Source organism: Homo sapiens, chromosome 5, assembly GCF_000001405.40.
Source record: "Homo sapiens chromosome 5, GRCh38.p14 Primary Assembly".
NCBI classification, from domain to species: Eukaryota; Metazoa; Chordata; class Mammalia; order Primates; family Hominidae; genus Homo; species Homo sapiens.
This window is the reverse complement of record NC_000005.10, coordinates 150,717,966-150,730,928: the sequence shown is the minus strand read 5'-3', so window position 1 is coordinate 150,730,928 and position 12,963 is coordinate 150,717,966. Positions and strand designations below refer to the sequence as shown.

The following is a 12,963-nucleotide window of genomic DNA, read 5'->3' as shown; positions in this document are numbered from 1 at the left end:
TATGTAGAAAATAAAACAGCTGTAATAGAGGTAATTGTTTGAAATCTAAAATGTCAACTTTCTATATTTTCATTTTTATGAACAACACTGTTCGTAAAGGCAGTAATGCTTCGTGTAATTACTGGTACATAAAAGTCTGATTTTGAAAGTCACTGTAAACTAAGCCTGTTTTCTGCCTTTCTTTCTAGTAACAACCCTTCAGCAGCGTCTGTTACAGCCTGACTTCCAGCCAGTCTGTGCTTCACAGCTCTATCCTCGCCACAAACATCTTCTGATCAAACGGTCCCTGCGCTGCCGTGTAAGTATTCCATTCTGTAGACTGACCATTTGTACAAGAGGAAAGCAAAAATAAATGTGGCTGGTGTCTGACTAATGTCAAAACCTTTGGAATGTATTAAATACAGAAAATACTTGTAGAGAACATACTAATTGCCAGGCACTATTTTAAATGCTTTCAATATAAACAGCTCTTACAACTCTGTGAGGTAGGTACTACTGTTAAACCTGTTTTACAAATGTAGAAAATGAAGTATCTGAAGGTTAAGTACATAGGGTTAACCCCTAAAAGAATAGTGAAAGAGTGTGAACTTTTAGGCTAGTGTTCAGGCTCAGGGAGGACCAATAAAAAATAATCAATTTAAAAGAAAGCAAGAAAAATCAGCAAAATCCAGGCTCTGGTAATCTACAGAACAAATGACAGAGTTTCTTCAATAAATAAATTGTAAAAACAAAATGGAAAAGAAACCTTTTAGAGGAGTACTATCCAACAGAACTTTCTATGGTGATGGAAGTATTCTGTGTCTGTACAGTCCCGCATGATAGCCACTAGGCACATGTGGCTCTTGAGCACATGAAATGTGATAGTGCAGCTGAGGTACTGAGTCAGTCTTTAATTTCATTTAAATAACCACATGTCGCTAGTGGCTAATGTTACTTAATCATTCTCTAGATTAGAAGAGACTTAAAAGTTTACCAAACACAATGTATAGAGTTTACGTAGATTCGGATTCAAACAAAACAGAAAGAAAGGGCCCAGGGGAGGAGGGAAGAAGGGAAAGAGGAAAGAAGGAAAGAAAAATTTGTGAAATCTTTGAGAAAATTTAAACACTGGTAGCATTTTCGATGCTATTAAAAAACTATTGGGCAGGGCACAGTGACATGCACTTGTAGTCCCAGCTACTCTGGAAGCTGAGGCAGGAGAATCCCTTGAGCCTGAGGAGTTTGAGACTGTAGTGTGTGATGATGGTGCCTGTGAATAGCCACTGCACTCCAGCCTAGGCAACACAGAAAGACCCTGTCTCTTAAAAAAAAAAAAAAAGTATTTTTTCTTTTTTAGGAATAATGATAGTACTTTGTTTGTTTGTTTTTTAATGTCTTTATCTTTTGGAGATACATACAGAAATATTTATGGAGGAAATGACTTGGTCTCTGATATTTGTTGCAAAATAATGAGGGATGAGGAATGGGTAAGAGTATAAATGAAACAAGATTGGCCATTGTTGCTAATTTTTGATAACAAGATGCTGATTCTTTTTGTTTGTTTAACCTGAGAGCATAGATTCAAGTCCTGCATATATATTCCGAAGTTGATAATCGTTGAAGTTGGGTGATGGGTACCTAGAGATTTGTAATACCATTCTATATTTTTGTACACGTTAGAAAATTTCTATAATGAAAAACCTTTATAAAAAGAAAGAAAAAGAAGGGGCAAAGGAACATTGAATTGGTAGTTCAAATAGAAAGCCTGGGCTCATGCCTGTAATCACAACACTTTGAGAGGCCAAGGCAGGAAGATCACTTGAGCCCAGGAGTTTGAGATCAGCCTAGGCAACATAGTGAGACCCTGTCTCTACCAAAAAAAAAAAAAAAAAAAAAAAAAAAAAAAAGCCAGTGTGGTGGTTCACACACTTGTAGTCCCAGCAAGTCAGGAGGCTGAGGCAGGAGAATTGCTTGAGCCCAGGAAGTTGAGGCTGCTGTGAGCAGTAATCACACCACTGCACTCCAGCCTGGGTGACGAAGCAAGACCCTGTCTGTTAAAAAAAAAAAAAAGATTGTGTGTGGTAAGATAGTAGATTAAAATCCAGATGTATCAGTATTTACATTAAATACCAATGAACTAAATGCTTCCATTAAAAGACAAACATTGTCAGTCTAAATAATAAAGCAAATTGCAGTGATCCATCTATATGCTTATTACAAGAAGCACAAACATGAGAACTCAGAAAAGTTGAAAGTAGAGAGAAGTGGGAAAAATATTGGACAAACACTAATTTTTTTAAAAGAGGGATAATTTGTTTAAAAAAAAGATTCAATTTACAAAGAAGATATAACCGTCTAAAGTCATGTGCACTGAATAATAGACTCAAAATATATAAAGCGACATTTGAGAAAATTACATAAATGGACAAATCATTTTGGGAAATTTTGACATACTTCTCTCAGTAACCGAGAGAACAAATAGATGAAAATCAGTAAGAATATAGAACATTTGGACAATTTATCTAGCAAACTTGACCAAATGGGCATATATAGACTACTGTACCCAATGTCTGCAGAATATATGCATTCTTTTCAAGTACACACAGAACACTTATAAAGGTTGATTATATACTGGATTATTATAAAGTAAGTCTGAACATTTTTCAGAAGATGAAATTCTTTTTCAGTTAAAAGAAAGTTTTTATTAACAAGAAAAGATTTAAGTCACATTTATACTTTATAATAATAAATAGGCTAAGATGCTCAATAACACAAGACTTTCTCTTTTGAACACTTTATTTCCATTTAGTACTCTTAAATACATTTGCTTGTTGTGTGTTTATATTTTAATAGGTAAAAGTTATGAATTACCAGCTATTTTGCTACCTAACTGCACGGGAAAATGAAAATTTATAGAATTTTATCATTAGATCAGAGTTTTAAAAATCAAAGGATAAGGATTTGTTTAAAATCTTTTAACATTAGGGCATTATACCTTTTTCAGAACAAATATAATTTACAGAAATTATACAAGGCAATTTTTTATCAAATATCAATATTTTAAAATGCTTTATTTAGCTGAAATGTTATTTCAGTTGAGAAAACTATCTCCAATTACAAAAAAATCATCAGGAAGCTTATTGGGTTTTTTGTTTTTTTTTTTTTTTTTTTTTTGAGACGGAGTCTCGCTCTGTCGCCCAGGCTGGAGTGCAGTGGCGCGATCTCGGCTCACTGCAAGCTCCGCCTCCCGGGTTCACGCCATTCTCCTGCCTCAGCCTCCCGAGTAGCTGGGACTACAGGCGCCCGCCACCACGCCCGGCTAATTTTTTGTATTTTTAGTAGAGACGGGGTTTCACCGTTTTAGCCGGGATGGTCTCGATCTTCTGACCTCGTGATCCGCCCGCCTCGGCCTCCCAAAATGCTGGGATTACAGGCGTGAGCCACCGCGCCCGGCCTGCTTATTGGGTTTAATCTGCTTTAGAAATGTCCTAAGAAGCCTAAAATTAAATATTTTAAGTAGAAAAAAATAATTTTAAAATAGTATGTTATACTATTACTGTGGTTTATATACATATATTAAATGGTCTCTTTTATAGGAAACATGTCTGGAAGTTTATCACATTAAGCACTGTAAAATTAAAGGCAAGAGCTAATCACCTTTTAGCAAAAGTACTCTGTATGCAACAGTTGCAAATATGAAAGCTATTATTTAGCAGTTGATAATTGCCTGATACAAAATATAAACAAAGTACATTTACTGGATTGTTTTTAGTTTGCAGCTGCCCTCAAATATCCCAGATAAGGATGTCTCATAAATCAAAGCTGCAGTACAATTCACTTAGTGGTTAGTTAGGCCAATCCTCCCCGCCATTATCCTTGTTCTTCCCCACCGCCCCTAACCCCTGCAGTGGCACCATATTATTAAAAACATTAAGTACCTGGGGTTTGTGCTTCAGGTCAAGACATCATTTGCATAATTTCAAATGACAGACAACTTTTCATGTAAAAATGATGCTTTGTGGTCACAATTACTTCAAAAAGTAATTGTTTTCAAATAACCTGACATACCGTACCTTAGCAATTACAAAACCATGATTTTGACACATGGCATTTGTAAGATGTGAACAGCTGTTCTTCTGCTTAAGTTTAGAGTGCTGCAAAACTTGGGTAATGACTATTTTTTCAGTTAACATAACCAGCCCACGGTACAGCACACTGTATCACAAAGTACAAATCCAAGGAAGGTAATACCTTTGCTAAGTTGCGGAATTTTGGCAAATCAGTACAGGTCTCTTTAATATGATAAAACTGTATTTTTGTGGGAGTCATGTATAACTTTAGGAATAATTTTCACTCCAAAAATATTTAAGTGCCAGCTGATACTATTAAAAACATTATAATGGTTTTTAATGGTGATTTATAACAAAGCAAGGATAATGGCGGGGAGGATTGGCCTAACCACTAAGTGAATTGTACTGCAGCTTTAATTTATGAGAAATTTATGAGAAGTTATTTTATACAAACTAATATGTTTTAAACTACACAATATCTCTTCTTAAGTGAGCTCCCCTGTTCAAGCTGTTAGAGTATCCAGCAGCAGAGCAATGCATGTCTCGAGGAGGTGGCTCCGCTCAGTTGTGGGGTTGGTCCAAAGCTGGGGAGAGTTCCAGTGTGTTGAAAGCTTTAAAATTCTATTTTAAGGAGATTTACTGTCAATACCAATTTCCAAGGACTTCTTTAAAAATTGTTAAATTTTCACATAAATACTGGAACTCTCAAAATTAGACAGTTATTTCAAACAACATTCATTTCAGATGATCCCTTATATTTAGAAGCCCTGCATCTCGTTGGTTTGATCAAAAGTCATATAGCCTTATACCAGCTTATTTTTTTTTTAATTCTGCTTAAAATATAGGTTTGTTGGGAGGCTGAGGCAGGAGAATTGGTTGTACCCAGGAGGCGGAGGTTGCAGTGAGCCAAGATTGCGCCATTGTACTCCGGCCTGGGCAACAAGAGCAAAACTTGTCTCAAAAAATAAATAAATACAGGTTTGTTTTAAATAACAAAATATAATAAATAGCCAGCTTGGAGAGACCTGGGGCACCCATCCAATATTGTCTACCAACTTTCATGATTGTTTCTTTGCACATGCTGCTGCTGCCATTGGAGTCCCTATGCTTTCTCTTGCTGAGGCTGTCAGCTGGAAGATGAAATTATTAAAGTATATTATTTGATCACAACGTAGTTAAGTTAGGAATCAGTAATTTCTTTATAGCAAAACTTGCAGGATACAACTAAGGCTGTGCTTAGCTATACAGTATATATTAGAAAAGAAGAAATATTAAAAGATTAGCGATGTCAGCATCCATTTCAAGAAGTTAGAAAAAAAACAGCAAAGTCCAAAGAGAACAGGTGTTAATAAATTAAGAAACCAAAATAAAATACAATAAATTAATATAAAATACAGTAAATTAAGAAACCAAAATACAAAAGGGCAACAGAATCAGAAGTTGATTTCTTAAAAAAGATTAGTAATGGAAATAGTTATATATAAATTAAATTGATATAAATTTATATAAATATGGTTATATAATGCACCATTAATATAGTAATACCTACCAAAAGTAAAGTTACCTTTTGTCTCATCAACTTCACTTTTAGGAATCTACCTTGCACCTCCACAAATACAAACCAAAATATGCAGAGATTATAGTATATCCGCAGAATGAGTACTATAAATTTATAAAAGAATGTGTTAATATGGGATACTTTTTTTTTTTTTTTTTTTTTTTGAGACGGAGTCTCACTCTGTTGCTCATGCTGGAGTGCAGCGGCGTGATCTCGGCTCACTGCAAGCTCCACCTCCCAGGTTCACGCCATTCTCCTGCCTCAGCCTCCCGTGTAGCTGGGACTACAGGCGCCCGCCACTACGCCTGGCTAATTTTTTTGTACTTTTAGTAGAGATGGGGTTTCACCGTGTTAGCCAGGATGGTCTCAATCTCCTGACCTCGTGGTCCGCCCGCCTCAGCCTCCCAAAGTGCTGGGATTACAGGCGTGAGCCACTGCGCCCAGCCTGGGATACATTTTTAAATGCAAAAAGCAAAGTGCATGGTAGGTATGCACTTTTTCTGTATAAAAAAGGAGGGAAAGTACAAATGTACATATAAACAAAAAAAAGTGTGTCTATATGTATGCAGACGTAGACCCATGCATATGAGAAAATTTGTTATATACTAAATATGGCATTGTAGATCATTGGGGAAAGAATAGGCAATTATATTTTGCTAGGTCAAGTGATTATATGGAAGAAAATAAAATTGGGTTGCTACCTCACCCTACATAGAAGTTAATTTCAGGAACATTGGAAATCTGAAGAGCCAAACTTCTAGAAGGAAATAGAGGAGAATACCTTCATGACTTCTGGGTAGGGAAATGTTTCATAAGTAATACAAATAAGCACAAACTGTAATGTAAAGTTACATATTTTACTTCATTAAAAGTAAAACTTGTACCCTCATGCCAAAGAAAACCCATAAAGAAATGAAAAGATAAGCCACAGACTGAGAAAAGTAGTTTGCAAGGTATATTATTAACAAGAGATTAAAATCTATTGTTAATATCAGCAAATCGGCAAGGAAATAAAAATAACCAGTAGATCCTAACATTCAAGTTATGGCAGAGGAAATCCCAATAGCCAATAAATATGAAAGATATTCAAATTTATACACTAATCAGGGAAATGTACATTAAAACTGCAATGAGAAAATGAAAAATTAAAAAAAATTAACTGCAGTGGAATATCATTTCATAATCGTCAGATTAGTCAGTTATATTTCAGTATCCATTAAAATAGCAAATGCATACACCCTTTGATCTACTCTTAGGAAATTGTCTTACAGATACTTAGACACTTAGGAAATGATTCATGTACAAGAACACTCATCGCTGCATTACTTACAGTAGCAAAATAATGGAAACATCCTGAATGTCCATCAATTTCTATCTTATGTAAGTTATAGAAATTGTTACAGTGGGACACAGAGGCCTCTCTATATGTACTGAAATGGAATTAATTCCAAGATAGAATAAATGAAAAAAGCAAGAGAATAAATATAAAATGTTCCCTTTTGTGTTATTGTGAAAAAAGCAAGGTGATGTATGCTTGTACTTTTATGTGCATAGGCTATCTGGAGAAAACAAGGGGACAGACAGATAATGGGTAATCTTTACACTGGACACCTTTTTTGTTCTGTTAAAAAAATTTTTAACCAGGTATATGTAGTATGTATTTAAGAAAGTAGTAAATAATTATTACTGTCCTAGTGCAGTGGCTCATGCCTGTAATCCCAGCACTTTGGGAGGCCAAGGCAGGAAGATTACTTGAGCCCAGGAGTTGGAGGCTGTAGTGAGCTTTGATTGTGCCACTGCACTCCAGCCTGGGTAACAGAGTGATACCCTATCTCAAAAGTAATCATTGTTACTGTACTTTAAAGCATAGGATCTGGAATTTTACTACCTAGATTTAAATCCCAGTGTCCATTTTTATTGGCTCTGTGAAGTTGGACAGGTTACTTACCCTTCCTGTATACCATTTTGATCATCTATAATATGGCAACCTTAATGTAATACCTATACCTAGCTCATAAAGTTGATGTGATATTTAAATCCAGTTAAACCAGTGAGCACGTTGTTTAGCAAATACAGTATGTACTCAGTATGTGTTATTTTAGTAGTTTTTAAGTACCACAGAGGTATAATAATATTGGATAGTGGGGTTGCACATATCAGGAAGTGCGAACATCTTTTATAAACTTTGGCTGCTATACATTATTCAAAAACATATGGTCTTATAGCAGAACAAAACAAAACAAAATTCTCGTAAATGCTGTCCTTCTGAATTTAGCAGCTCTATGGATCAACAAAGTGTGTTGTTGTCTTCTGATACGTGTTATATTTGTTTTCTTTTTAGAAATGTGAACATAATTTGAGCAAGCCAGAATTTAACCCAACGTCAATCAAATTCAAAATCCAGCTGGTCGCTGTGTAAGTATTTTGGGATTGGTGTTTTCAGTTACTGTTTTGAGTTATTTTGGTTTATTCTTCTTCCCCAGTATGAAGTGTGTTTACTCTTGGCCTAAAAAAAAAAAAATTACATCAAAATAATCTTGACATTCTGTTCCTGTTTAGGTTTTTAATTTAGTTACATGCCATGAAGTTTAAGATAAATAGATTCAGGGGTATTGGGATCAGGGACACAGTGTCCCAGTATGATCTGGAGCAACAAGGTATGTTGATTATTTGGTGGAAAGTCACTAGTCATCATTACAAATTATAAAGTATCTGAGTTTGGGAATAATCCTTCAAAAAAAATTTAAAAATAATGAAGTATAGCTGATTGAAGAGTATCCCTGTAACAGTGTTCATTTTACTTACCTGTGTTATAACACTTCGTTGACTGGAATGAAAGTGATTAAGTTAGTGTTAACTCTCTGGGACTTGTGAGTAGAAGAGAATTTTGTGTATAAAAACTACCTATCAGGCTATCTGAATGGTCCTAATTAGAGACAAATACTGCCACTTAAAACTTACCCAGTGTTCATCTAATTAAATGTAAACTTTTCATATCTCATCATACTTTTCTAATACATAAATTTTTTAAATTACCTGGCAAACAAAAATATTTTCACAAATTAGGAAAGTATTGTCTAGCTTTGGAGTAAGAGAGCCCTTCTTTAGCAAGACAGGAAACCCAGAAGCCATTAAAAGAAAAGAAACACCTTTGACCTTAGCAAAAAGAAATAGTGGTTATAAAAGATGAAATTAAAGCCAGGTGCAGTGGCTCACACTTGTGATCCCAGCACTTCGGAAGCCTGAGTCAGGAGGATCACTTGAGCCCATGAGTTGAAGACCAGCCTGGACAACATAGTAAGACCCCATCTCTACAAAAAATTTTTAAAATTAGCCAGGTGTAGTGGCATGCACCTGTAGTCCTAGCTACTTGGGAGTCTGAGGTGAGAGGACCCCTTGAGCCCAGGAAGTCAAGGCTGCAGTAAGCTATGATTGTCCCACAGCACTCCATCCTAGACAGTGGAGCAGGACTCTCTCTCTAAGGAAAAAAAAATTTTTTTAAGACAAAATTAGCAACAAAGTCCTGAGACAAATAGTAAAGCAAGAAAGAATATTTGGCAGTCATGACAAACAAAAGTTTAATATCCCAGGCATAGAGAATTCCCAGAAATTGAAAAGATAAAAATAGAGGGAGGCAGTAAAGTGGAATGTGGAACAAGGGATTTGAACAGGTAGCTTATGGGAAAGGAATTTCAAATGACCAGAAGATACACTGTATATGGAAAGAAACTAAGATTTGATAGGAAAAGTTTTAAAAGGTAATTAGCATCTAGTGCTCATGAGAATGTGGGTAAACACATACTTGCACACATTGTTGGTGGGATCTTGAATTGCTAGTCTTTTTGGAGAGTGGTCTGGAAATATCAAAACAAATTACATAGACCTTTTAACCCAACAGTACTGTTTCAGGGATATATTCTGTAGAAACAAAATCACCAATATATAAAGATGCATTTCCAAAGGTGTGTTTTAGAATATATTAATGGCAAAAAGCTGCAAACAGTTTAACCAAAAGTTAATCAGTGTCAAACTGATTAACCATTAACAAGGAAATAGTTGGTTAAATTGAGATAACTTGTACTGTAGAATATTATGCAGCAATTAAAAATAAGTATTAGGAAACAAAAAGGTTGGGAAGTGCATGTCTAGTGAGTTAGGAGGAGCTAGGAGGGCCAGGAAGAGGGTCTGTCACTTACTATTTTTGTCTAAACATACTTCCCTCGTCTCTGAAATGGGAATAATGTATTCCTCTTGGGATTCTTGAAAAGAATCAAATGAGTAATTATGTTTGCAAATGCCTTGTAACTCACCATAAAATATGTTCATTTTCCTAACTACTCTTAATACATGATTGGTTAGAGACCTACAGAAATGGCACTTGTGAAGTCTGGGATGAACTCCTTTCTTAAGAATTATACTCATTACAGAAACCCTGAATGGCAGCCTGTACTTAGCATCAATTTCTTAAGCTTGCTTTGAGAAAAAGTGATTTTTTTCTGACATCATTTTAGAATTGCCTGGCTATCTTAATACAGATGCTCTGAGGCCAGGTGTTTGGCTCATGCCTGTAATCTCAACATTTGGGGAGGCCAAGGCAGGAGGATCGCTTGAGCCTTAGGAGTTCAAGCCCAGCCTGGGCAACACAGTGAGTCCTCATCTGTACAAAAAATCAAAAATTAGCTGAGCATGGTGGCACACACCTGTACTCCCAGCTACTTGGGAGGCTGAGGTGGGAATGTCACTTGAGCCTGGGGGGTCGAGGCTTCAGTGAGTCATGATTGTGCCGTTACACTCCAGCCTGGGTGACAGCAAGACCCTGTCTCAAAAAAAAAAAAAAAAATACAGAGCTCTGGTATCAAACCTCAGACCTACTGAATTCAAATTCTTAGAAGTGGGGTCTTTAAATTTATTTTTATTGTTGTTGCTTTTGTGTGTGTGTGTGTTTTTTTTGAGATTCAGGAAGACAAAAGTTTCTTAAATTCCTGTTAAGTTACTCAGGTAATCCTGCTGGTCACCATGAAAAATAGCTCGTTTAAAGTTTAAATATCTGATTCTAAGATGTACTTTTTCCCCCACTTTTAATGTTTCTGCAATAGATTTCGTATTACGTTAATGTATGCACAATAATGAACATTTATGTGAGCTTTGTTCCAAGCACTTTTCAAAGCATTCTTGCATGTATTCTTCACAATAACCTCAAGTGAAAGATACCATTATTTTCCTCATTTTAGAATTGGGAAAACCAAGGCACAAGGAGATAAATATCTTGCCTTAGTCATTACAAAGCAATATCTTGATATGTAAATGCTAATCTGGGGCCTGGGCAGTTTCAACTAGAAATATACGTAAGATTTCAGAAAGAACTCATACCAGTTTGGTCTTATGTCTTTTCTTAAGTTCTTACTGTGATGATATGGTTCATTAAAATTATTTTTTTTCTGATACATTCTAATTAACATGAAATCCTTTATGTACTGCACTAGCTTTAAAAAATAATAATAATTTTAAGAGACTCCAATGAACATTAATGCATTTTTTTATTTATGCACAGCAATTATATTCCAGAAGTGAGAATCATGTCAATTCCCAACCTTCGCTACATGAAGGTTAGTACCTTGCTCATTAACAGGAAGAAAAAGGATTGATCAATGATGTGTGTACATGTGTATGTGGGTGGCTGTGTGTGTATTTGGCACAGGATCCAGTGAGCAAGGGATAGAAAAGAAGACAGTTTGGGATAATAAAGACTAAATTTGTTGACACTGAGATTCTTGACAACAGCATCTGATGAAAAGTAGGGAGAAGGAGCAGGGTGCACATTATGTTAAGGTGAAATTATAGGTGGGGAAAAGAAAGGAGAGAATGTTGGATCCCACAGGCATCTTTTGTTCTTCTCCAGCCTAGAGATTCTCTTCGATCTCCTGTTTGTTATGTTTCAGGTACTAGGATTCAGTTAGATTTATATACCACAGCCCTTCTCTTCCTTGGAGTCCTCATCTACTCCCCTTCCTTCCACACACACACCCAGTGAATTGTAGAATATTCTGCAGCAAACTCTTTAACTCTTCTTTCATGCTGCTCCTGAAAACACAAATATTTATTACATGGGCCTTCATTTGAAAGATTTGTTTTGCTTATCTAGAGAGGGTACCAAACAAGGACAAATTATCACAGTTCAAGAAGTCTTAAAAAGTTTTTATAAGGTCGGGCACGGTGGCTCATACCTGTAATCCCAGCACTTTGGGAGGCCAAGATAAGTAGATTGCTTGGGTGCAGGAGGTCAAGACCAGCCTGGGCAACATGGGGAAACCCCATCTCTACAAAAAATACAAAAAATTTGCCAGGTGTGGTGGCGCACACCTGTGGTCCCAGCTACTCAGGAGGCTGAGATGGGAGGATCACCTGAGCCCAGGAGGTTGAGGCTGCAGTGAGCCATGATCATGCCACTGCACTCCAGCCTGGGCAACAGAGTGAGACCTTGTCTCGAAAATAAATAAATAAATAATAAAAATTTTAAAAAGTTTTTGTAGTCTTGGTGTGCCATTTTTGCTCTGTTCATGCATCTGACTGGCCTGTGGCTCCCATATTTTATTTATGAGGGCCTCCTTTTCAGTCCTTAAGTGGCAGCCTGGGTGAGACAAGAGTTTTAACTTCACTTAGATAATGAACATTCCTCAGAATTTCTGGATCTAGTAACTGGCCCTTTCAGTGGAATCTGTCCCATTTCCTCAGTGAAATAGCAACTCCAGAGAGTATTTGGTCTAACATATAGATAATAGAACAGGGATCAGTAAGCACATAGAGAATACAGTGATGTAGAGGTATAAGTAGGGCGTCATTGCCCAGGAGTAATGGCGGGGATGGTAATTTTGCGAAATATTCGGTATAGCAGCTAAGAAAGTGGCGAATGTCTGAGAGATGTGTTTCCTATTCACCAGGAGAGCCAGGTCCTCCTGACTCTTACAAATCCAGTTGAGAACCTCACCCATGTGACTCTCTTCGAGTGTGAGGAGGGGGACCCTGATGATATCAACAGCACTGCTAAGGTAGGAGCATTTTGCCTCAGCCTGACTGACCCGCACTTTCCCTGGAGTGTCCTCATTTGACCTGGCTTAAAAGACTCCACACACTCTCCTTTCCACATCTAGTCAGCAAGTTCTTTTGATTCCACCTCCTAAATTTTTTTACTTTATCCTGAAACACACTGCCCTATTTGAAGGTCTCATCGTTTCTTACCTGGACAGTGACAATAACTTCCTAAATGACCTTGCTATTTTTATACCACCACCTCTGTTTCAACCCATTTCTTCTCTCTTGCCACCAGGGTGATACTTCTAAAATCTAACTCTGTGCATG

General features: G+C 36.6%; 1 protein-coding gene across 8 annotated transcripts in view; it reads left to right on the top strand.

The window, feature by feature from the left end:
• The window catches only part of DCTN4 (dynactin subunit 4), a 50,578-nt gene that overhangs the window by 28,089 nt on the left and 9,526 nt on the right, over positions 1 to 12,963 (top strand). For all 8 annotated transcript variants that reach the window (NM_016221.4, NM_001135643.2, XM_011537644.2 and 5 more), the window contains 4 exons: positions 189 to 298; positions 7,949 to 8,022; positions 11,159 to 11,213; positions 12,546 to 12,653. In NM_016221.4, the coding sequence (NP_057305.1) occupies positions 189 to 298; positions 7,949 to 8,022; positions 11,159 to 11,213; positions 12,546 to 12,653 (347 nt within the window). The remainder of the gene's footprint in view (positions 1 to 188; positions 299 to 7,948; positions 8,023 to 11,158; positions 11,214 to 12,545; positions 12,654 to 12,963) is intronic.